This window comes from Homo sapiens, chromosome 3, assembly GCF_000001405.40.
Source record: "Homo sapiens chromosome 3, GRCh38.p14 Primary Assembly".
NCBI classification, from domain to species: Eukaryota; Metazoa; Chordata; class Mammalia; order Primates; family Hominidae; genus Homo; species Homo sapiens.
The window spans coordinates 110,445,428-110,472,131 of NC_000003.12; the positions used below are offsets into that span (position 1 = coordinate 110,445,428).

Consider the following 26,704-nt stretch of genomic DNA (forward strand, 5'->3'; position numbering starts at 1 on the left):
GCAATCATTAAAAAGTCAGGAAACAACAGGTGCTGGAGAGGATGTGGAGAAATAGGAACACTTTTACACTGTTGGTGGGACTGTAAACCAGTTCAACCATTGTGGAAGTCAGTGTGGCGATTCCTCAGGGATCTAGAACTAGAAATACCATTTGACCCAGCCATCCCATTACTGGGTATATACCCAAAGGACTATAAATCATGCTGCTATAAAGACACATGCACACGTATGTTTATTGCGGCATTATTCACAATAGCAAAGACTTGGAACCAACCCAAATGTCCAACAATGATAGAGTGGATTAAGAAAATGTGGCACATATACACCATGGAATACTATGCAGCCATAAAAAATGATGAGTTCATGTCCTTTGTAGGGACATGGATGAAATTGGAAATAATCATTCTCAGTAAACTATCGCAAGAACAAAAAACCAAACACCGCATATTCTCACTCATAGGTGGGAACTGAACAATGAGATCACATGGACACAGGAAGGGGAATATCACGCTCTGGGGACTGTTGTGGGGTGGGGGGAGGGGGGAGGGATAGCATCGGGAGATATACCTAATGCTAGATGACGAGTTAATGGGTGCAGCGCACCAGCATGGCACATGTATACATATGTAACTAACCTGCACTATGTGCACATGTACCCTAAAACTTAAAGTATAATAAAAAAAAAATAAAGAATACAGTTCAGTTGACGCAATCTTAAAACTATGTGTGCTTAATTTAATGCATGGACACATAGGTCTCATCAAATTATAAAGAAGATTACAAGGCTAATAAAATTAAAACCAACATCAATATATTGTAATGGTTGTTCTTGTCCGGTTGAAAGTTAATAGCTGATGTTGGTTTTAATGGTAGGGAAATAGTACCTCAGGTTCAGTTCCGTGCTTAAGCAATAACTGCATTTTGACTTTAATAATACTAATGTGGTGATAGCAATGACTTCAATCAGCACACATCCTTAATCAGAATTTACCAGTGAGCTGCAGGTGCTAATTTAAATGTAATAGCAATTGATAAATCTTTAAACTTGTTCACATGAAAGTAAAGTTAGCACTGCTACATTATTAAAATGTGCATTAAAAATACATCAATTTTGATTACTTACGCAATTTGGAAAACAAAATGTTTTTGTTTCATGTTAACATTTCCACCACCTGCAAAAAAGAGGACGTTTTTCTCTAGTATAGATTTAACTTTTCAGTTTGCAGTATTGATGTGATTCTGTCTTGCATTAAAACACAATCTTCCTACCACATTTTTCTCTCTTCAGACTACCTGTAAAATATTTGATTTTTATGGTGTGCTGTGAGCTCATGCACCTTTCATGTGGTGACAATATTTCATGTGGTGATGATTACTTTTTAAAAGCAATCCCAAATATGGGCAGAAAAATTGTGGTGTAGTACTTGGATATACAGTGTTTGATAAATATATACTCATATTAATATTTTAAGTTTAGCGTCAAAATGAAACCTCAAATATAAAAATTTATCATAGATAAACTCAACATTCGGGAATGTTCAACAGAAAAGCACATACTTCCATTTGAGAATAAGTAATTGAGAACCTAAAGGAATAATTTATAAACTTTTTTTAACCCTAGAAATATTATTCAAGCAAATTCTGATGTGGCTATCCAAATGTAAACAGATGCCATTCTTTCATCCCACTTGTATTAATTTCCATTCAATCTTTTCCTAGAGAGTGAAAGAGACAGTGGAAAGATATGACAAATATAAAAAAAATTGTGAACTATCAACTTTAATCTTCATTACGAATCCTTTTCATGTACTGAGTATTCTCTAAACAACCAGATAGATATTCGAAGACTCCGTACCTTTCAGAAGTTTATAGAGATTGGCATTGACATCAACCAGATAATCAAGAGTTAAAAAGGTAATAGCACTAGTTCTGGCTCGCTATTTGGCTAAAGCTAGTCTAGATTTTAGCCACACCAGCAAAGCACTACTTTGATCTTTTGAGCACTGTTGGACGAGCAGAACTACAGGTTGTTGGCCATTAGGAGTTTAGGCTGCTGTATTAATATTACTATCATTATCTGAGTAAATATAAGTGACAGAACAAGCATCAGAAAATTATCTTACTGAGTCACCTTTCCTTATCATGGTAATATAAATAATTTGAAAAATCTAGGTTATAAACTCTTGGTATTAAATGCTTTCATTAAGTCTCTACTATAAGTCAATATTCTTAAAATTCACTTGGGAAATTTTTACTTCAGATACACAATTAAGTTTTCTTTCCCATAATTATTATCTTCAAATATCTTTTGTTGGCCTTATCTTTTAAATTTTTTAAAAATTTGTAATAAAATGCTTAGACACACAGATAGGAAGAATGAATACTATAATGTTACCACATGGCTTAAGAAATAAATTACCATTAGATTTTAAACCCATAGTGTATCCCTTCCAGAACATATGTACCTCCTTTCCTAACATGAAATCATGATCTTGTTTCTTATCATTTCCATAAATCTCTTTCTAATTTTATTACATGTACATTTGCATTCGAGTTCATAGATAAAAACAGAACCAATAGGAGATACATATATATATATACACACACACACAGTCCCCTATTGGTTATATACATGTGTCCCCTATTTGTTTTATATATATATACACACACACACACATATACACACACACACACACACACACATACATGAAAAGAAAGAGAGATTTTAAGGAAATGAGGAATTGTCTTGCATGATTATGGGAGCTAGCAAGTCCAGAATACATAGGTTAGGCTGACAGGCTGGGGATTCAGATAAAAGTTGATATTTCAGCCTTGAGTCTAAAGGCTGAAAACTCAGACAGAATTTCTATGTTGCAGCCTGGAGGCAGAAATCCTTTCTCTTTGGGAAACCTAAGTCTTTGCTCTTAAGGTCTCAAATGACTAGAAAAGACACAGCCACATTATTTAGGGAAATCTGGTTTATTTAAAGTCAATTGATTATAAATGTTGATCATATCTTAAAAATACCTTTATAACAACATCTAGACTGTGTTTGACCAAACAACTGGTGTCCATAATCTAGTCAATTTGACACACAAAATTAACCATCATAGCTTGTATCCTTAAAAATAAGGATTTTAAATATTATTTTGCATATTTTAAGCTTTAAATAAATGGTATAAAACATTAGATGTTGATTTGCTACTTGCTTTTTCTCTTTTGTATTTATTTATAAAACCCATTCATGTGACAATTTGTGGCAAGCATTTGATCATTTTTAACAGTATAAAATTTTTACATATTTTTGGGCATTCTCCTGGTGATGAACAGTGGGTTGTCTCCAGTTGTTTGTGGTTATAAACAGTGCTGCTATGAACATCCTTGTCCATGTATCTTAACAAGCATATACTAGAATTTCTAAGAATGGAATTGCTTCAAGAGATACACACTTTTTATTAGTCTTTCCTAAATGGTGCCAAATTGTTGAACAAGCCTTCAATCTCTGGTGCAGAACTCTAGCACCAGCTATTTTTTAGAATTTATAATGTGTAGGTTTCAGGAAGGTAATATGATAGTTATCCCCATATATCATGTAACAATCTAACAGGCACTGCAGCAGCATCCAATACAGTGTTAGTATTTTTGCAATGAAAGGTACAAATAATCACAAGTAGGATTAAAAATATAAATATCTTAACATCAGTTAGGATCAGATTTTGCTTACAAATAAGGTTAAGTCAAGTTAGATCTTACTGCAAAGTGAATAATGAAAAACAATCAGTTATTAGATTGTTTTTGAGTTTTGAATTGTAAATAAAGACCTCATGTGTACCACATAATTGCCTAAAATTTGTTATCACGATTATGTTATTTATGCCAGTCTAATGTAAATGAAATATTTGAAAATGTGGTTTACACTGGCATTTTTCTGATGACGCTAGGCATATTTTATTCTACTTTCTGGACATTTGGGTTTCCTCATCTGTGAGTTGCTTATTTGTATGTTTTGCCATTTTTAAAATTGTTTTGCTTGTCTTTTAAAAAAATTGGTTTATAGAAGTTTTACATATATTCTTATATTAATCCTTTGTTATACAACTTACAAATATCTTCTTCCAGTTTGTGGCCTACCTTTTCACTTTTAATAGTGTCTTTATGCACGTGTGTGTGTGTTTCCCACAGAATTTTCATAATGAATCTTTATCCTAATATTATTTATCAGTCTTTTCCTTTGCAGTATGTGCTCTCTGTAACTTATTTAAGAAATCCTTTTATTCTCTGACTTTACTAAAATATGCTCCTAATTCTCTTTTAAAAGCTTTAAATTTTGCCTCTTAGATTTAGGTCTTTAATTTTCACAGACTTAACATTTAAATACTTTATGAGCAAGCGATCCAACTTCATTTAATTCCATGTCCATGTGGATAACCAGCTGTCCTAGAATCATACATTGAATAGTTCATTCTTTTCCTACTGAATATTTTTTTAATTTTTGTGGGTATATAGTAGGTATAAATATTTATGGGGTACATGAGATGTTCTAGTATAGGCATGTAATGTGAAGTAAACACATCATGGAGAACGGGGTATCCATCCCCTCAGGCATTTATCTTTTGAATTACAAAAAATCCAATTACATTCTTTATTTAAAAATATACAATTAAGTTATTATTGACTATAGTGTTCTTATTGTGCTATCATATAGTAGGTCTTATTCATTCTTCCTAATTTTTTTGGACCCATTAACCATCCCCACCTCCTCTCTCATCCCCCCACCATATTTCTCAGCCTCTGGTAAGTATCCTTTTACTCTCTATGTCCATGAGATCAATTGATTTGATTTTTAGATTCCACAAGTAAGTGAGAACATTTGATGTTTGTCTTTCTGTATCTGGTTTATTTCACTTAACTAATGATCTCCAGTGCCATTCATGTTGTTGCAAATGATGGGATCTCATTCTTTTTTATGGCTGACTAGTACCACACTGGGTGTATGTACCACATTTTCTTTCTTGTTTTTTTGTTTTTGTTTTTGTTTTTGTTTTTTACTAAAATAAGGTTATTTACTTCAATATGATACATTGGATATAATCTGTATATAGAACAAAGCAAGCAATGGTAAACTTAGTAAGGCACCTTTTAAACCAGATGCTATACAAAATACATTTAGTGTGTTACATATCAAAGACAAATCTATGTTTTTGGCGTTTTACAATTGCCTGATAAAACTGCTTGCTTTTATCCTTCTTTCAATGCCAATGTACAGTTTTCCCTAATGAAGCAATAATGATATTTCCATTTTATACAATATATGCTACATTTTAGTTTTAAATGAGCCAGGACAAAGGTCACTAAAAGGGCTTAAATAATTCCATAGAAAACAGAATACAGAGCATAAGCTAAAATTACAATAGTTAATCCTTTGCAAGAGCCATATTCACATACTTTCCTTATGGGACCATCATTACCTTTATCCATTGATCTGTTGACGGACACTTAGGGTGTTTCCAAACCTTAGCTGTTGTAAACAGTGCTGCAACAAACAGGAGTGCAGATATTTCTTCCATATACTGATTCCTTTCTTTGGGGTATATACCCAGTAGTGGGATTGCTAGATCATATGGTAGCTCAATTTTTAGTTTTTTTGAGGAACCTCCAAACTGTTCTCCATAGTGGTCATATTAATTTACATTCCTGCCAACAGTGTACAACTTTCCCTTTTCTCCACATCTTCTCCAGCATTTGTTATTGCCTGTCTTTTCGATATAAGCCATTTAAATGGGGGTGAGATAATATCTCATTGTTGTTTTTATTTGCATTTCTCTGATGATCAATGATGTTGAGCACCTTTTCATGTGCCTGATTTGCCATTTGTATGTCTTCTTTTGAGAAATGTTTATTCAAATATTTTGCCTTTTTTTGGATCAGATTATTAGATTTTTTCCTATGGAGTTGTTTGAGCTCTTTATATATTGATTATTAATCCCTTGTCAGAAGGATAGTTTGTAAATATTTTCTCTCATTCTGTGGGTTGTCGCTTCAAGAAATTTTTGCCCAAAACAATGTCTTGGAGGTTTTCCCCAATGCTTTCTTGTAATAGTTGCATAGTTTGAGTTGTTAGATGTAAGTCTTTAATCTATTTTGACTTTATTTTTGCACATGGCAAGAGATAGGGGTCTAGTTTCATTCTTTTGCATGTGGATATCCAGTTTTTCCAGCACCATTTATTGAAAAGACTGTATTTTCCTCAGTGTATGTTCTGGGCACCTTTGTTAAAATAAGTTCTCTGTAGTTGTGTAGATTTGTTTCTGTGTTCTGTATTCTGTTCCACTGGTCTATGTGTCTCTTTTTATGTCAGTACCATGCTGCTATGGTTACTATACCTCTGTAGTATAACTTGAAGTCAGGTAAAGTGATTCCTCCAGTTTTGTTCTTTTTGCTTAGGATGTGTTTGGCTATTCTGGGCCTTTTGTGGTTCTGTGTAGATTTTAGGATTGTTTTTTCTATTTCTGTGAAGAATGTTATTGGTATTTTGATAAGGACTGCATTGAAACTGTAGATTGCTTTGAGTGGTATGAACATTTTAACAATATTGATTCTGCCAATTCATGAGCATGGAATTTTTTATTCATATTTTCGTGTCCTCATCAATTTTCATCAGTGTTTTATAGTTTTCATTATAGAGCTCTTTCACTTCTTTGGATATTTCCTAGGTATTTAACCTCACGTGTGGCTATTGTAAATAAGATTTCTTTTTTGATTTCTTTTTCAAATTGTTCACTGTTGGCATATAAAAATGCTACTGATTTCAGTAAGCTGATTTTGTATCCTGCAACTTTACTGAATTTGTTTATAAGTTTTAATAGGTTTCTTGTATAGTCATTAGGTTTTTTCCAAATATAGATCATATTATTAGCAAACAAGGATAATTTGACTTCTTTCTTTCTAATTTGCTTCCCTTTATTTCTCTCTCTTGTCTGATTGTTCTAGCTAGGACTTCCAGTACTATATTGAATAACAGCGGTGACAGTGGATATCCTTGTCATGCTCCAGATTGCAGATAAAATGCTTTCAGTTTTTCCCCATTCAGTATAATACTACCTGTATTATATAGACTTTGTGGGTCTGTCATATATGGCTTGCTTTTATTATGTTAAGTTGTATTCCTTCTATACTCATTTTTTTAGTTATTTTTAATAATAACGAATGTTGAATTTAATCAAATGCTTTTTCAGCATCAATTGAAATGATCATTTAGTTTTTATTCTTAATTCTGCTGATATAATATAATGTATCATATTAATTGGTTTGTGTATGTTGAACCATCCATGCATCCCAGGGATAAATCCCACTTGCTCGCAATGAATAATCTTTCTAATGTATTGTTAAATTCAGGTTGCTAATATTTTGTTGAGGCTTTTTGTATCAATATTCATCAGAGGGTCAGGCAAGATGGCTCACACCTATAATCCCAGCACTTTAGGAGGCTGAGGCAGGTGGATCACCTGAGGTCAGGAGTGTAAGTCCAGCCTGGCCAACATGGTGAAACCCTGTCTCTACTAAAAATACAAGAATTAGCCAGGCATGGTGGCAGATGCCTGTAATCCCAGCTACTTGTGAGGCTGAGGCAGGAGAATTGCTTGCACCTAGGAGGAGGAGGTTGCCATGAGCCTAGATCACTCCATTGCACTCCAGCCTGGGTGACAAGAGCTAGACTCCATTTCAAAAAAAAAAAAAAAAAGTTGAGATATTGGCCTGTCTACACATTTGATGTGTCTTTGTCTGGTTTTGGTATCAGGGTAATACTGGCCTTGTAGAATAAGTTTGGAAGTATTCACCTCTCCTCTATTTTCTGGAGTAGTTTGAGGAGACTTGATATTAGTTCTTTAACGTTTGGTAGAATTCAGCAGTGAAGCCATCAGGCCCCGGGCTTTTCTTTAATGAAAGACTTTTTATTGTGGCTTCAATCTCATTACTTGTGATTGGTCTACTCAGGTTTTGGATTTCTTCCTTTTTCAATCTTGGAAGTTTACGTGTCTAGGAATTTGACCATTTCTTCTAGATTTTCCAATGTATTGGCATATGGCTGCTCATAGTAGCCACAAATGATCCTTTGAATTTCTGCAGTATCAGTTGTAATGTCTCCTTTTTCATTTCTAATTTTATTTATTTGGATCTTCTCTCTTTTTTCCTTAGTTAATCTGGCTAAAGGTTTGTCAATTTTGTTTTTTTTTACAAAATTTTTTTTTTACAATTTTCTTTTTTTTGCAAAAAACAACTTTTCGTTTCTCTGATCTTTTTATGGCTTTTTTTATTTCAGTGTCATATATTTCTGCTCTGATCTTTATTATTTATCTTTTACTAGTTTTGAGTTTGGTTTGCTCTTGATTTTCTAGTTCTTTAAGATTCATCAATAGATTATTTATTATAAGTTTTTCCTTTCATGTGATGTAGGCACTTATAAACTTTCCTCTGAGTACTGCTTTTAATGTAGCTTATAGGTTTGGGTATATTGTTTTCAATACTATTTGTTTCAAGAAATTTTTCTGTTTCCTTTTTAATTTCTTCATTGACCTACTGGTCATTCAGGAGCATATTGTTTAATTTCCATGTATTTATACAGTTTCCAAAATTCCCCTTGTTATTAATTTCTAGGGTTATTCCATTGTGGTCAGAAAAGGTGCTTGATAATCTTCAACATAATTGAAGATAATATTTCAACTTTTTGATGATATTTCAATTGTTTTGAAAGTTTTAGGACTTGCTTTATGATCTAATATATGGTATTTCCTTGAGAATGATTCACGTGCTGAGGAAAGGAATGTAGTTCTTGGATGAAATGTTCTGTAAATAAACCGAAAATCCATTCGGTCATTATAGCGCAGATTAAGTCTAATGTTTCTTTGTTGATTTTCTGCCTGAAAGATCTGTCCAATGTTGAAAGTGGGGTGTTGAAGTCTCCAGCTATAATTGTATTAGGCTTATCTCTCTTTAGCTCTAATATATCCTTTATATATCTGGGTACTCCTGTATTGGGTGCATATATATTTAAAATTGTTATATCCTCTTGTTGAAGTGACCCCTTTATCATTATATAGTGACCTTGGTTGTCTCTTCTTATAGTTTTTGTCCTGAAATCTATTTTGTCAGATATAAGTATACTGACTCCTGCTTTTTATTTTTTGTTTTTTGGCTTCTATTGACATGGAATATTTTTCTCTATCATTTTAATTTCAGTCTTTGTGTGTCTTTATGGGTGAAGTGTGTTCTTCTAGGCAACAGATTAATGGGTCTTATTTTTTTATCCATTCAGTCAGTCTACGTCTTTTGATTTGAGAGTTTGGTCCATTTACATTCAATGTTATTGTTGACAAGTAAGGATGTACTTCTGCCATTTTGTTATTTGTTTTCTGGTTGTTCTATGGCCTTCTCTTCCTTCTTTCTTTCATTTCTCTCTTTCTCTATTGAAGATGATTTTCTATGGTGATATGATTTAGTTTTTGCTTTTTATTTTTTGTGTATTCATTGTATGTTTCTTGAAGTTATCATGAGGCTTGCAAATACTATCTTATAACTCATTATTTTAACCTGATAACAACTTAAGACTATTTGCATAAAGAAACAAACAAGCGAGAAGAAAACTAATAAAAACTTGGCTTAACTTTGTGCCTCCCCTTTTTAACTTTTTGTTGTTTCTATTTATATCTTATTGTACTGATTATGTCCTGAAATGTTGTTGTAGTTATTATTTTTGGTTGATTCATTGTTTAGTCTTTCTACTTAATTCTGTGTTTTTCTGTCTACTTACTACTAACAGTAAGTTTTGTGCCTTCAGGTGATTGTTTATTGCTCATTAATGTTCTTTTCTTTCTGATTGAAGTACTCCCTTTAGCATTTCTTGTAGGATGGGTTTGGTACTGATAAAATCCCTCAGCTTTTGTTTGTCTGGGAAAGTCTTTATTTCTCCTTCATGTTTGAAGACTATCTTTGCTGAATATACTATTCTAGGATAATAGTTTTTTTTTTTCCTTCAGCACTTTAAATATGTCATGACAGTCTCTCCTGGCCTATAAGGTTTCCACTGAGAAGTCTGCAGCCAGATGTATTGGAGCTTCAATGTATGTCATTTGCTTCTTTTATCTTGCTGCTTTTAGGATCCTTTCTTTATACTTGGCCTTTGGGAGTTTTCTTTTTTATTATTAAATGCCTTGAAGAAGTCTTATTTGAGTTAAATTTGCTTGGTGTTCTATAACCTTCTTGTACTTGGATATTGATATATTTCTCTACATTTGGGAAGTTCTCTATAAACCTTTTGAATAAATTTTCTACACCCATCTCTTTCTCTACCTCCCCTTTAAGGTCAAAAACTCTTAGATTTCCCCATTAGGGGCTATTTTCTAGATCCTGTAGGCATGCTTCATCTTTTAAATTATTTTTTCTTTTGTTTCCTCTGACTGTGTATTTTCAAATAGCCTGTCTTCAATCTCACTAATTCTTTCTTCTGCTTGATCCATTCTGTTATTAAAGGACCTGATGCATGCTTCAGTATGCCCATTGCTTTTTTCAGCTCCAGGATTTCTGCTTGATTCTTTTAAGTTATTTGAATCTCTTTGTTAAGTTTATCTTATGGAACTCTAAATTCCTTCTCTGTGTTATCTCGAAATTCTTTTGGTTTCCTCAACACAGCTATTTTGAATTCTGTGTCTTAAGGGTCACATATCTCTGTTTCTCCAGGATTAGTCCCTGGTGCCTTATTTAGTTCATTTGGTGAGATCATGTTTTCCTAGATGGTGCTGATAATAATAGATGTTCTTTGGTATGTGGGCATTAAAAAGCTAGTTATTTATTGTAGTCTTCACTGTCTAGGCTTATTTGTAGCTGTCCTTCCTGGATATTTGAACAGATTTCGGTGATGTGATTTAAGCTGTTTCTGCTTCAGGGAGAACCACAAGCCTAGTAATGCTGTGGTTCTTGTAGACTCATAGAGGTACCATCTTGATGGTCTTGGACAAGATACAAGAGAATTATCTGGATTATCAAGAAGAGACTCTTGTTCTCTTCCCTTACTTTCTCCCAAACTTACAGAGTCTCTCTCTCTTTGTTCTGAACCATCTAAAGCTGGTAATGGAGTGATACAAGTACCACTGTGGCTACCACCACTATGGCTGCACGGGGTCAGACCTGAAGTCAGTATAGTGCTGGGTCTCACCCAAGGCCTACTATAACCATACCCTATACTTCCTATATGTGCTCAAGGCCTTGGGGTAATGTCAGCCCTATCTGTTTCCTTCCCTTCAGGGCAGTGAAGTCCCCCAGGTTCCATATGGGTCCAAAAGTGCCATCTAGGAGTCAGGGACTATAGTCAAAACCTTAGAAGTCTACCTGGTATTCTATTGTATTGCAGCTGAGCCGGCATTCAAACCATAAGACACACTCCTTCCCACTCTTCCTTCCCCTTTCCAAAGACAGAGAAGCCTCATCCCATAGTCACCACCACCACTGGCCACAAGGAGTGCTGCCAGACTACCATTGACATTCTCTTAAGGCCCAAGGTCTTTTAAGTCAGCTTGTGGTGAATTCTGCCTGGCCTGAGACTCACCCATTAGGGTAGTGGGTTTCCCTCTGTCGCAGGGCAGGTTCAGAAATGCGATCCAAGAGACAAGTCCTGGAATTGGGGACCCTAAGAGCCATTTGGTTCTCTACCCCTCTGTGGCAGTGTTGGTACCTAAAGGGCAAGACAAAATCCTTTTACTTTTTTCTCTGCTTTTCTCAAGCAGTAGTTTTACCCATACCCACCACAGCTGGTAATGTGCTGAATCTCACCTGAAGCCATCAAGTCTCAGTGGCTCACCAAGTCCCTCAATGTAGTACCTGAATATCACTGCTGGTTATTCAGGGCCCAACGGTTCTTCAGTTAGCAGGTGATGAATGCTGCCAGAACTGGGTCTTTTTCTTCAAGGCAGTGGCTTCCCTTCTGGTACAGGGTATGCCTAGAGATGTCATGGGGGAGGTAGGGCCTGGAAAGGTTTCCTCATGACTCTAGCCAATGCCCTATCCTGCTGTGGCTGAGCTGGAATTCTAGATGAAAGACAAAGTTCTCCCTACTCTTCTCTCTCCTCTCCTCAAGCAGAATCAAGGGGACTCTTAGAGCTCTAAGCTTTATAGCCTGGAGTTAGAGGAGACGGTTTCACCTCCTCTAACTCTAGTAGAGCAAGGTAGTGCTGACAACACAGCCAGCACTACCTTGGCTGCACCAGCTGGTGTCTCAGTATGTCACATGCCCCCACAGTGCACTGTCTCTGGGACTAGTTCAGCACTACGAGTGCAGTCCTTATGGCTTAGATTGCCTTTCAAGTTTATCTAGGGGCACAGAGCACTTTGGGCCCTGGTGGCGCGGTTTGTGGGCTCTCAAGTTTGGATTATTGGGATCTGTGATTCCCCTCTGATTATGGCTGGTTTAAATGCTTCCTCCGTGGATAATCATCAGCTGAGTTTGGTCTGTCTGGGCAGGCATCAGCTGAGTTTTCCTTTCCGCTCTAACAGGACAACAATGAGTTCAATGCCTCACAATTACTGTGTTCTCTCTCCCCCAGCACCTAGAGCTGCTCTCTGCACCACTCAGCTGTTGCTACAGGTAGGGGGAGATGGCATCTATGATTTAGGCCTGTTTTTTCTATCTCTTCAGTGCCTCTTTCAGTGATATGGAGTTAAAACCAACTACTATGGGTGCTCACCTGATTTTTGGTTCTGATGAAGGTGTTTTTAACTTGGTTCTGTTTTTTGTTTTTTTTTCATTTTGAGCTCGAGTCTCGCACTGTCGCCCAGGCTGGCGTGCAGTGGCGCCAGCTCGGCTCACTGCAAGCTCCACCTCCCTGGTTCACGCCATTCTCCTGCCTCAGCCTCCTGAGTAGCTGGGACTACAGGCACCCACCACCACGCCCAGCTAATTTTTTGTATTTTTAGTAGAGACAGGGTTTCACTGTGTTAGCCAGGATGGTCTCCATCTCCTGACCTCGTGATCCGCCCGCTTCGACCTCCCAAAGTGCTGAGATTACAGGCGTGAGCCACCGCGCCCGGGCCCTTAACTTGGTTATGAAGCTGTTGTTAACTTGATGTCTTTGCAGGAGGTGGGGCAGTGATCAGTGGGACTTCTTATTTAGCAGTTTTGCTCTACCTCCCCTCCCACTCATTTTTGATGCCATTCTTATTATATCTGTGTTCAAATAGTTTTATTGCTGTGTTTTCTGTTTTATCTTATTGGTTAACTTGTTTCCTTCTGAATCAATACTAGACGGCCTAAATAAAGCTTTAGCATTAGTCTTGCTATCTAGAAAGTTGTTTCTACATAATAATCTTAGCTAGTCTGTTTCTTTTATACATTAATGTAAGATGTAGAATCAGCTTAAGTTTCATTTAAAAAGAGCAAGCAAATAAATTAACATAAAACCCTGTTAAAGTTAGAATAATTGCATAGATTAATTTGTGGAGAATTTATATTTTTACTATATCAACTCTTGCTTTTTATAAATATTTATTAAGGCTTTCTTTACTGTTTCCTAATGCAGTTTATAATTTTTGCCATAAAAATCTTGTATATATTTTTTGGATTTTGTTATTTAAAATATTTTTTCACAAAGTTTTTAAATTGAGCTTTTACTGAAACTAAAACTATAAATAAAACTTTTGTAAGAAAATATAAACAAATTATCATGTTCTTTTGTTTTGCAAAGAGTTCTTAGATGCTTGCAACGGTTCATTTTATGTGTCAACATGGCTTGGCCAGTGTCCAAATATTTGGTCAAACATGATACTGGATGTTTCTGTGAAGGTATTTTTGGATGGCATTTAAATCGGTGAACTTTGAGTAAAACAGTTTGCCCTCTATAATGTGAGTTAGCCTCTTGAATCAGTTGGAAGTATTGATAGAATACTGACCTCCTCCAAATAGGGAGTAGATTTGCCAGCAGATGCAGATGGCCTTCAGAATTGAACTGCAATATTAGCTCTCACTTGGGTCTCCAGTTTGATGGCCTTCAAACTTGAATCACAACTTTATCTGTTCCCTGGGTCTTCAAACTGCCTGCCTTCTCTGCAGAGTTTGGACTTGCCAGGCCTCAATTATCACATGATTTAATTTTTAAAGTAAATCTTCTCCTTGTGTGCACCTACTCTTGGTTCTCTTTCTCTGGAGAACTCTTACTAATACAGTGCTACACCAAAGGCATAATCACTAAAATTTTAAAAAGATAAATTGAACTGTACTGAAAGTAGAAGGCTTTTCTCTACAAAAGACACTATTAAAAGAATGAGAAGACACATCATAAACTGGGAGAATATATTTGTAAATCACGTATCTGACAAAGAATTTTTCAAGAATATGTAAATAGTTCTCAAAACTCAAAAATAAAACAAAAAACAACACAATTTTTAAATGGGCAAAAGATTTGGATATACACTTTATCAGATGACATAATTACGTGGCAATTAAGCACATGAAAATATGTACAATATCGCTATTTATTAGTGAAATTCATATTAATGCTACAATGAGATACTATTACATATCTATTAGAATGTCAAGGGGGAAAAAGTGTGACAATATGTTGACAAAGATATAAAATAACTTGAACTCTTCTTGTACATTTCTGGTGAACATTCAAAATGTTACAGCCACTTTAGAAAACAGTATGGCAGTTTTTCTCATGTACACTTTTATCACCCAGCAATTCTATTCATAGGTATTTACCCAAAAGAAATGAGAACTTATGTTCACCAAAAATCCTACAAGTGAATGTTTACAGCAGCTTTATTCAAAATCATGGAAAACTGGAAACAACACAAATATCTTTCAGCAAGTGAATGAGAAATAAACTGTGGTGAAAGCCATAAAACACAATAAAAGAAATCAACTGTTGATGCATATAACGACAACATAACTTAATCTCAGTTTCTTTTTAGTAAGTAAAAGTTGTCAGAACTGAAAGTCTAAATTCTGTATAATTCAATTTATGTGACATTTATAAAAGATAAAACCACTGGGACAGAGAACAAAATAGTGGTTGCAGAGGTTGAAACTGTGATGAGGGGCTGACTACAAAGAAACAGCACAAAATTTCTGTATTGTGTTGGTAGACACGCAACTCTCTCGCAACCCACAAAATGGTACACCACAAAGACTGAATTTTGAAGTAGGTCAATATAAAATCTAAACTAAGAAAAGATGTCTGCAATATTTTTACTCAGATTTCCTGTCCCAGCCTTCGTACAGGTGTTGTGTTAAACCTCTTTTATTTATTGTTTCTGGATGAGGAGTCTTATGATAGATGATACATTACATATATTCCCAAGAAGAAAAATTGGGATAAGGAAAACTAATTAAAATTGATGATACCCCCTCTGTGCACTTGAGTACAATATTATACATTTGCATCCATCATGCCATTTAACTCTTATATCAACCTTATGAAGGAAGTTGTTAACATATAGACACTTATCCTACAGAAAGAACAGGAAACCCAGGAGGGTTTGGAGGGCTAACAACGTAGTTGTCTGATTCAGCATTTTGTGCAATCTCCATTATATTACTTTTATAAAATTTATTTTTTATTTATTTTTAAATTATTATTATTATTGATATTAGTATTTTTGGTACAGATGGGATCTTACTATGTCATTCAGATTGGTCTCAAACTCTTGCCTCAAGCAATCCTCTTGCCTCAGCCTCTCAAAGTACTGGGATTATAGGTGCGAGCCTCCACGCCCAGCCATGATACTATTATAGGGCAGATAGTTATTGTTAATTATGTTTTTTGTGATTAGTAGATGAAGGATACAGAAGCAGGTGAATTATTTCATTTATCTGTTGTTCCTTTCTCTCCCAAGGTGATCCACTGTGTGATACATAAGACAAGTGTCCTTCATAAGAAAATTGTAAGTGTCTATTGATGGAAATGCTTCTCTTTAGGGAGTTCTTTTTCTTCTCTGGAGCTTTCTAGGTAGGTGACAGCAGTATACCTAGTGCCACATTGTAACTAAAGTGACACACATTAACAAAATAATAGTGCTGCCTTTATATGTTTCTTCTAATGTTCCAGAGTTATCAATTGTATAATCATCAAAGAGTTCATAAAATTATTTTTCTGTGAAGAACAAAGCTGATCTTACCCCTGTTTTTTGAACATGTGTTGACAGGTACACAGGAAAGTGGAAAATATTTCTTAGAGAAAATCTGAGTCATTAAGTTGTCCAGATAATCCATTCACTTTGTAAGCTGTACATCTCACATTATTATTAGTTTAGTATGTGCTGAACACTGAATAAAAACATTTCTTTGAAACTGCGTGAGTACAATGTTTATGAGATAATGCACCTCTGTCAACATGGACTCAAGTCCATTTTGTGCCATGTGTGTAGGTGGAAAACTGGGTTAGGAATGAGGGAAGGCACTGTTAGCATCAGGGCCTGTGAGCAGAGAATAGAAATACGTATGAGTCAAAAACAGAAACTTTCAGACAGGGCTAAAACAAAATATTACAAATCTTAAAGGACACACTAAGTAGTCTAGAATGAAAGAAGCAAGAACTCAGATAATCATGAAAATTGAAAAGGGAGGCAGGAGGCACCATGAGGCATCAGCATCCCGGAAGCAATGGTTGACACAACATTCAGCAATGACCTTCTTAATGCATTGCCAGCCAAGGCAAGACACTTTCTGAGGAAGTGTCTTAGTCTGTTTTGTACTGCTATAGCAGAATACCTGAGACTGAGTAATTTACAAAGAGCAGCAATTTATTTTCTCACAGTTCTAAAGGCTGGGAAATCGAAGAGAAAGGTGTTGTCATTTGTTGTAGACTTTCTTACTGCATTCTGACATGGTGGAAGGTGGAAGATGAAAGGTCAAGGAAGACAGAACCCGCTCCACAAGCCCTTTTAATAGCAACATTATTCCATTCATGAGGATGGAGTCCTCATCCCCTAAACATCTCCCATTAGGTCCCACCTCCACTCATTGTTGCATTTAGGATTAAGTTTCCAACACATGAATTTTGGGGTACACATTTGAACCACAGCAGCAAGACAATCTAAAACTGAAGTATGGAAGCAGTGTCAGTTATATGGAGAGGGAAATGTACTTGGATTAAAACAAAAACAAAAACAAAAAACCTCTTGGCAGTTTACTATAATTGTTCAGAAATTCATGTTTGTGACTTCGAACTAAGGTATTTGTGTAATTATCTTCACTGAGACCTGAAGGTTTTTATTTTGTTTTTCTTCCTATTTTTGGCAATATAAACTAGAGGGAATTATCTACCTGACTTAGAGCCAATTTAAAAACTAACAAAATAGCACCCATTAACCTAATTTGACTTACCCAGTAAGTCAATATTAGCTAGTGCTAATATTCATCTTCATTTAAGGCTTGTTAAATTAATCTCTTACCTTAACTCTTAAGCCAGCAGGTGTTAAGCATGATAATCTATTGGGATATTCATTTGCATATAGTTTTTCCTTAATTTCCTCTCCTCCCACTAAATTGAGTGGCCAAGCCTACCTATTAATTGCCACAGGTAATTTTACAGGAGCTAAATCAGAGGTTTCCTGAAGATAATGTTTCTTATTGTGTTCAGTAAATGCCACAACAAATTGAAGATATGGGAATAGAGAAAGAAAAGGAAGATAATTCTTCAAAAGTAGGAAGAAACAAAAATCACCAGACCCTGATGTTCTTGGTCACTTGATACCTACTCTGCAGTAATGCCCTGTGGAGAAGGCCAGACCTCAGAGACAATGGAAGCATGCTGCGCATGAGAGGCTGGCCCTGGGTATGCCAGTGCCCCATGACTAGCTCAGAAGCCGAGTTCTACCAGATGCAGAAAATGGGGGTAGCAGCAGCCATCATAATTCAGTAAAGACTGAGGGTCTTCCTGTATTTCAGAAGTCACATGATCTTTCCAGTTTCTTGAGACGTCTTGCTGAAAGGAAGAGCCCTGACACTGATAAAAATAGAATTTTTCTTCCAGAAGATAGAAGAATAAACAAGGGAGAGGTCTGGCAGCTGTTTGATGTTGATTTTAAGACAACGTTAAAAGCATTTTTGTTTCTCTCACTACTACATTTTTAGATTAGTATTCCTTTGTGGCATGTGCTTAATTGTAGCGCTTACAGCAAGGTTAACTTAGCTGCTTCCCCTTTTGCAGAATTTAAAGGGTCCCTTGTAGAAATACTGCCCTTATTTAGATTTAGTTACTGTTTTCAAAGTGAATGTGAACATAGTAACCTTTACTATATTTGTACGCTTGTAGAATATTAAGAAAAAATTGAAAAAAGGACAATTTAGGCTCAGCACTTTTTTTTTTCAGATTAAAAAAACCTGAAATCCAAAGTCATAGCATGGCCTCTAAGATAACAGATGTCCAGAGGTAGAGTTGGGACCAAGGCTCACATCTCCTGGAACACAGCCTCAGCACTGCCTGCCTGCCTTCATAAGACACCTAAGCCAGTCTGGCCCTATCTTAAAAATTGCTAAATTGAGAGGAGGAAACCTCTTCCTTCAATTAGGGAAAATTTGCTGTTTAGTATCATATTTAGAAAATAATATTCTTCCAGTGAGTTATCCACAGAAAGGTATTATTCTTCACAGTGAGCCCCTATGGTTTTCAGAACTATGATTTTAACTTTGTCATCTAGTCCCATTTTCATCAATCTGTGTGGCAATACATAGATTTCTCTCCTGAGGTGAGTAATTCTGCTAAGAAAAAGAAAGGATCAGTTTCTCTCTCTCTCTTTTTTTTTTTCACTAAAATCCTCGTAAGAAAGACATTGGATCAGGAGTTAGTCTTATTTCTGGGCCCATGTAGGAAAGTGGGCAGCACAGTGCTAGAAGATAGGGATCCTTCCTGTTTACCAGTGGCTTTGCGCAGTGTACACCAGAGAGAATAGGGTGAGCATTTTGTACTGAGACATTCAGCATCTTAGCAGCAAAATGTGAGTGAGAAGCATGGGAAATAGAGGTGGGGACTTTGGGCAGAACCCTAGACCTCTCGTTGAAAACAGAGTGCCTGGGACAGTGGTGAGGTCTTCCTCCACTGAAAGCAGCAGCTTTGAAGAGAACTAGAAGTGACAGAACTGTAAGATAGCAGAGCAGAGCACATACCCCGCACCTCCTCAGGGCTCCCAGAAAGACTGAGGATAAGGGATAGAGTGCATAAGTTTTGGGGGCTGGAATTTCAGCAGGTTCTCTGATGGAGGGATAGAGCCACAGAAACAGAATTTAAAAGATGTTAATTTAATCTATTTTTTTCCCCTTTGGCTTGCTGTGGCATAGGGACAAATGGGTTAGAGTGGAGCAGTCATGTAGTATTTGCCGTATTTAACTAATCCCATTGATTTCTCCCTCCTCTGCTTTCTCCCTTCTTTCCACCCCATCTCAAACTCACTTTTTTCAAAGTTTGATCTGAACCCCAGCCCTGATACCTATCTTGTAATGCTTCTCCCTGATCTGATCTTCAATGGCATTTGTGGTTTGTCCCCAATTTTAATTTATCCTATGCTATCTTATCTTATTGGTCATCTTTTCAAGAGTATTTAGCTTTTCCCCTCTTATAATGCAACCCTGTGGTTTTCATGTCTGAATACCACCAGACACTCAGGAAAGCACATTAAATCTTGTAAAGGGTTAATAAATGTTTATTGATAAAATTATTGACATTGCATTTAAAAGCAAATTAAACATTGTGAATCTCTCTAATTTAAAAAATACACACAACAATAATACAACTGTATAAAGTATCTGCTTCCCCTTTTGCAGTTACTTAAATTGGAAAATTCATAGTCATTAGTACTGGCAGTTAAAAGACTTTCTGTTGTATTCTGATTGTCTCTCCATTCAAAATGACATGCTGAAATAGTGATAATCTTCTGGAATAAATTAGAAGACATTTTTGTTTTTTAAGTGTCTTAAATACCTCCTCATTTAAAAAAATAGGAAAGAGTGATATTATAGAAATAAACTATAGAAAATAAATGCAATATTTTAATGCTGATTTAAAATTTAAAACTTTCATAATTATCAACTAAGCAAACTGCCACATTTCACACTTTCTTTAAAATGTGAATTAGTTAAGTTTATTTCAAACTTAATAACCACAAGTTAAGTTTGATTATTTTCCTTTTGAAAAGACTCTTCTGGGGACTCTTAAAAGGATAAGTTCCCTGGTGGCTTTAATCTCTGGATCAACCAAATAAAATTCATTTTTGAATAAATAAAAGAACAAGATATTTTATCACACACTATGTCTCCATACCTCTCAAGCCTTATCAGAGCACTTAAGGCTGGTGTTCATTGTTCCCTGCCTACCCTTCAGCCCCAGGGTTCATCACTATTGCACCTTATGTTCTTGCAATTCCTGGCTATATCCAAGCTTTCAAGCCCTGGCCCTCGCATTTGCCTGTTTATCTGGCTGGAGAGTTCTCCTACCCTATCTTCACGGAGAAAACTCAGACTTCTTCCTCAGCCTCTGCCCACAGTGTTTTTCCCATAGTATGTAGGCATGTCTGCCTCATTCTCATTTTCTCTTTTCAGCTCAAATGTCACACAGCAGAGAGACTTCCCTCACCACCTTGTCCCAACTGGCTTTCCCAATTTCACTCCATAACCCATTGCATGATTATTTCCTTTCTTGGTAACAACAATTTTCAGTTTTCTTGCTTATTTACTTGTTTATATGTTTATTGTCAGATTACCCATGTAAACATTAATTTGTTTACTAAGGTGGAGGTTTCACCTGTCTTGATCAGTTTTTCGCATTCCTAAATTCTCCTGCAATTCCTGTCACACACCTGCCCTCTTGATAAGAGGAAAGGGTCTTGAAACATTATACGCAACCAGATGTAAGCAGAAAGAGTTTTGTAGTCAAAGAATGCAGCAGGAAACGTTTGAGATGTTCTGGAATTTGAAAAGCTGAAGGAAGGCTAACATTGGAACCTTTGCTTCTAGCTACACCACTGACATAACTGTGACATCTGGAGTCAGTTACTTGATTTGAAGGATATATTTGAAATAATTTTAAGTTTTAAAACTCTAGGGTACTGTGATTTATCTACTTTGCTTTGGATTCTAGTGATTAATTTGTGCTATCTTCTCTAAAACAAGCAACAGTTTATATTTGACTTTTTCGGTTTTAATTTTTTTGTAGCATTAGCTGTCTGACTTCAGTCAAGCAACTTAGTGTTTTGTGTGTCAATTTCTTTACCTATAATTTGATAGGGCAGAATGAGAGAGGGAGCACTAAAATCCCTTTTAGATTCCCCTCAACCCCCATTTGTTTTTACACTGCTTTTTGTTTGCTTGCTTGCTTTTAGGACACAGAACTTTATGATGGATAAACCAAGGGAAAGAGGAGAACAGACACCAGAAACTGGCCATGGGAAGAGTTCTCAATAGGGCTGATGCTAACAAGCTCAGTGATACTTGGTGAGCATTGAAGCTGACCTCCTTCTATTACCTGCAGGTACAAAGGTGCACATTTCCTGCCTCACATGTTGTACAGCAATTCAGTAAATTTCCAAGTGTTATTAGCTGGTATCTTATAAGCCAGTTGGCATGGTGCTTGGCACATAGTCAGACTTTAACCAAAGGTCTGCTAAGATATTTATTAAAATAAAAGATTTAATCCTGGTTTTGATTTCCCAGTGTGACAAAACTCTGAAACGATAGCACAGGTGGGGACAGCTCAAGCCCTGGAGAAGTGGAGTCGTCACTAGAGTTTTAGAATTTTCTATCACCTTAGTCATTGATACTGTTAGTATACCATGTTTCTCTTCCCACTAAATCCTGCCAAATACAAGTGTCCCATTTCAGCTGCCAATTTCATGAGGCAGATGAATTACTCTGAGTAACACATGACTTGAAGGGCATCCACTTCTGTGATGACTTCAAAGATCTATCAACAATAAACTGGGGCAACATCTACCAAAAGGGCTGCTGGCAACTTGCACTAACTTTGCACATCTGAAAGTTTTCTGCCCCAAAAGACCGAGTCTTCCAGGGGCCAGCGCTGTCCTAAAATAAACTTTGGGCTCACCTGATCAAATCCTCTTAATTTAAAAGTAACCATACTGATAATTAGGGTGAAAATAATTAAGATATTGAATGCAGTGGTTAAGAGACTCCCGGATGCATATTCTAAGCTCTGCTACTTATTATGTCATTTTCCAATAATTAATTAACCTCTCTGTGCCTGTTGCCTCATCTGTAAAATTGATGCAATTTAGCAGTGTCTACAGTAATAAGTATTTTTCAACCATCTTCCATTTTAGAAAAAGTCCTCCCTCGAAAATGGGAATGTTTGAGCAAGTATATGGGTTTGGGAAGGACATGTTTGGAGAAGTGAGAAAAGAAGTGTGCATATACCTAACTGTAGCCAAACCAGATTAATCCTGGTAATAAATGATGGAACAGTGTCACTTTCTGAGATAGAGGAGCCTGGTGAAAAGAAGAAGTACCTCCACAGCCCACTGGTTAAATAATAATTATGATGCCAATAATTATCTTCTTTAAGTATTTTATAAATATCAGAATGCCTAGCTCCTGAAAATAGGATTTGAAAATTTTAGGCAAATGTAAAGAGCTTTCTTAACAGTGTTGACTGGTAGTGTGAGTCATCAGCAATAGGGGCAGAGTGGGGGACATATGGGATGGGAGGGAGAGATAATGGTTTCTCAGTCTCTCTTAATCTCGTGTGAGACGGTATAAATATATTGTCATGGAATAACTAAAATATAAATTATCTTGTTATTAATTATTTAAAGTAGCCTTCCAGAAATGAGGAATTGATAAAAATTTAAGCACAGAAATAACCAATGAGGTGTATCATTATGTTTACATTGTTTCTTTGAATTGTCTCTTTGGGGATATCATTAGCTCCAATTTTCCTAGCTTTACCATGTAGAAATAGTGTGAAAGTCAAAATTACAAAATTACATAGGTATTTTTAAGAATGTTTTAAACATTTTATGGCCTCACATCCAATTGCATGCCATTTCTTCTGAGAGTAGCATCTTTCTTTGGTTTGATTTTAATTACTCTAGTCTGGTTCAGTTTGGGTACATTATTTTTGTTTTGGTTTGGTTTAATTTTGCTATTGGACCCTAATTATTAAAGTCTCCTAGTAAAATTAAATTGTCTTTCAGCATACCCAAAACATTTATAAACTATGTGTATGTACTAGCATATTAGGTCAGTGCTAAATACAAGAAAATAAAACTCCTTGTTTGCTATGTTTTAAAAGAGGTTTTAACAGAAATAAATTTATATTTAAATTAGATTTGATTAAATGTTTTCAAGCTGAAATAGTGAAATTCAGGAGCAGCATTTTGCATTAGTGGTTCTTCTAATTCTGAACAAGAATATGTCTGTCTCAGCTAGTGCCCTACATCAATCATTACTTAGAAATGTCATTCTCATCACCATGTCAGCAAGTAATATACTTTTTGCAATTGCTATGTAACCAGCACTCTGGTGTTTTTCAAGTATTAACTGATTTAATACTTACAATATAAATACCATTATTTCTAAAAAGTTACTTGACCGAAGATTCATAGTTAGTAGTGAATGTAGGCCTTGAACTTGGGTTAATGTGACCATAAAAGTTTTCAGTCTTAGCTCTTAAGTTAATCTGCACATATTTCAATGGTATTCTGCTAAATATGTCTATTAATATGAGTTTGATACTATCAATACTAAATTCAATACATTTAAATCTTTTTAAAATTACTTGTATTTGCGCCCTCTTTTTTCACTTTCTCTCACTCTCACTTCTCTTTTAAATGTTTTGAAAAACAGAGCCATTAAATTCGTCAGTATATTCTATATTCTCAACTAACCATTTGCATTATGCTTTTAATTTAATGTATTTCCACTTAAGTCAATGCATACAAAAGTATGTCTTAGTAAAGTCATGCAAGCAAAGATTACATTTTGAAAGAATTCTTTACCTATAATGTTTATTTAAGTCAACAGATTAAAGATTTAAGAGAACAAAATTAGCTGTCATTCGGTAAATTCAAATTCCTCTTTAGCATAATAACCATCCTTGAACACCTTCAACATTTGACAAAAGAATTCAGCAGAGTGGTTATATTACCTTGAGTTGAATTACCTGTAAGCAAATTGAAAGTGAAGAAAATTAAATTCATATGCTATGTAGGCTTCTATACAAATCTACAATAATTGTATTTAAATTTGAATTCTTTCTTAACAATTGCATCCCTGTGAGAATTCATGGAATAATTGTTTAGTGGAACAAAATAGATATTCAATTTCTAAGCAAATAGAACTTATTTTAAAAGTTATAGAATACAGTTGCATATTGAAACACAGCATTGCTTACAGTTAATAAATTAAAAAGCCAGTTGTTTTAAATAGATCATCTTGAAAGTCACCCAATATGCCTTATTACATGGTTTTCCTTATATTTGAACTCAAAACTTGACTCTCATTAGATAGTCAAGTAGGGATGATTGCAGAGTATGGAGGGCTTGTAAGTGCTACTAGCTTGGGTTTTGATAGCTATTAGAAGATAGCCTAAAAAATTATATAACATAAGAAAATTATCTCCTCTGTATAACCTAAATGAAAATAATTTGGAAGTAGAATTATGATTTGATTCACAATAGGGAGAATTCAGTTAAAATTGTTTAAACTCATTAATCATGATACAAGCTATCAAATTAGAAAGACCCAATAAACCAGATGGATTCTGGGTTCTTACTGGAGGTATAGAGTCTACCTTTTATCCGGTGTTTTTAAAAATGTGATTCATAGACTATTTACTTCATAATGCTCTGAAAGACTTATTTTAAAAATACAGATTTCTAGGACTGTCTCAGGCTACTAAATTAAAATATCTATGGGTGAGCCCAGGAATCCATATTTTTACTAAGTACCTCAAGTGATTTTTGAATTTTAAATGTAACAATAAAATACAGAAATCTCAAATGTGCAGCTGGATAAATATTTACATATGAATATACCCATGTAACTGTCATTCAGAATCAACAGATGGCTAATTTCCATCACTCTAGAAGGATTTTTCATGCTCTTTCTAGGCAATAACACACCCAGAGGAAAAATACTACTGTTTTGCCTCTTCTTGAACTTTATACAAATGGAATACATAATATATGCTTTTTGTAGTTGATTGACTTCTTTCAACATCCGGTATTTTAGATTCGTCGGTGTTGTTGAGTTTATTAACAGTGCATTCTGTTTTAATTGCTTTATAGTTACATGATGCATGTTTGGGTAGTTTTCCAGGTAATTCTTAAGTACTATAATATTTTAAAATCTTTCACTTATAGCTTTGAAGGAATATTCTGTGGTTGATCAGGACAGCCTGCCACCAAAATAGAAGTTTCAAATGTTCTATCTTCTAAACATTTTACCATGAAATTTCAAATTTAAATCACTCCTTTTTTTGATTTAACCATAGTTACAGAGGCTGAATTTACATTAAAACAAATGCTGTCTGATAGGACTTTCTATGCATACATTTTATAGAATATTTTATCATATTACCATGTATACGTTTATAGGATTAACTGGCATAAAGAAGGTTAATAGACACAGAGTGATAGGAAGAACCAACGGAGAAAAGGCAAATAGATGAAGCCTTAGGAAATCCTACTTTTACTGAAGGTAGGGAAGAAAGGAGAGGAGTGAAGTAGATTATAGACCTGTGAGTCCCCTTTCTCAAACACATTACACCCCTTCCCATCCCACTCAACTCTTCCCATGCCCTTGCCTGTTGCCAGCTACCACTTTCTCTTGAACTCATCCTAACTAGGCTGAGAACCCACTCTCTTCCCATGTGTCATGATTAAAGTACCAGCATCAAATATGCAGGATTACCTTCTATGCCTTCTTTTCCCAGGTCCCTGCACCAAGACCTTGGCTGACAAGAAAAACCTCCATGCAATGGTGATGGGTATCTCATTCAACCCAGCATTCGCTTTATCTTTGCCAGAAAGTTCCAGTGATGGTTTATAAATAAGACCCCCAAACTTTACTCTTTATTTGGTATAGTGCCAGTAAACATACTAACTTAGAGCGTAGAATATTCTTGGTCTACAATTAAAACCACATTTAAATTTATTTGTTGAACAGTAGTCATATTTCATACATAATGTAATTGAGAAATTACTTAATAAACTTTTAATTTGACTTTGGAATTGTCTTGTTAGGTTCCTGAATATTCTATTAGAAAATGAACCACGAGTCAGTGAACAAGTCAGAATTAAAGCAACAGTCTAAATCTTTTTGTAGACTTTAGTATAAAATTATCTATATATACATATGTCTTCATGCGTGTGTATACGTGTGTGTGTGCATGTATATGTGTATGTGAATCATCACACACATTATCACACAGAGATTGTTTCTAAAGAAGTTCTCTGGAATGTGCTATTGGACTTGCACTCCTTGTGATATTTAAACCTAATAGCTCAGGTTTGTAAGCTATGCCAACAAATCAATAAATTCAATAAATTCTCAATTCTAATAAATCCATATTGTCAAAATTCAGTCAAAAGCTGAATGTCTAGCATATCCTGAAGTTACTTCCAAAACTGCTCAATATTTATGAAAAACATGTTTACTTTAGTGATGTCTCCAGTATTTTACATACTTTGTATGGAATAACTTGTA

General features: G+C 35.3%; 1 long non-coding RNA gene across 2 annotated transcripts; it reads left to right on the forward strand.

The window, feature by feature from the left end:
• The first annotated feature begins 1,807 nt into the window (after nt 1-1,807).
• LOC105374036 (uncharacterized) lies at nt 1,808-26,229 on the forward strand. Of its 2 annotated transcripts, none has more exons than XR_924327.3 (4): nt 1,808-1,914; nt 15,883-15,930; nt 21,361-21,472; nt 25,932-26,229. It is a non-coding gene; the product is annotated as an uncharacterized LOC105374036 (long non-coding RNA). The 2 variants fall into 2 exon arrangements; XR_924326.3 differs by having other exon boundaries at nt 15,883-15,995; nt 25,932-26,152.
• The last annotated feature ends 475 nt before the right edge of the window (nt 26,230-26,704 follow it).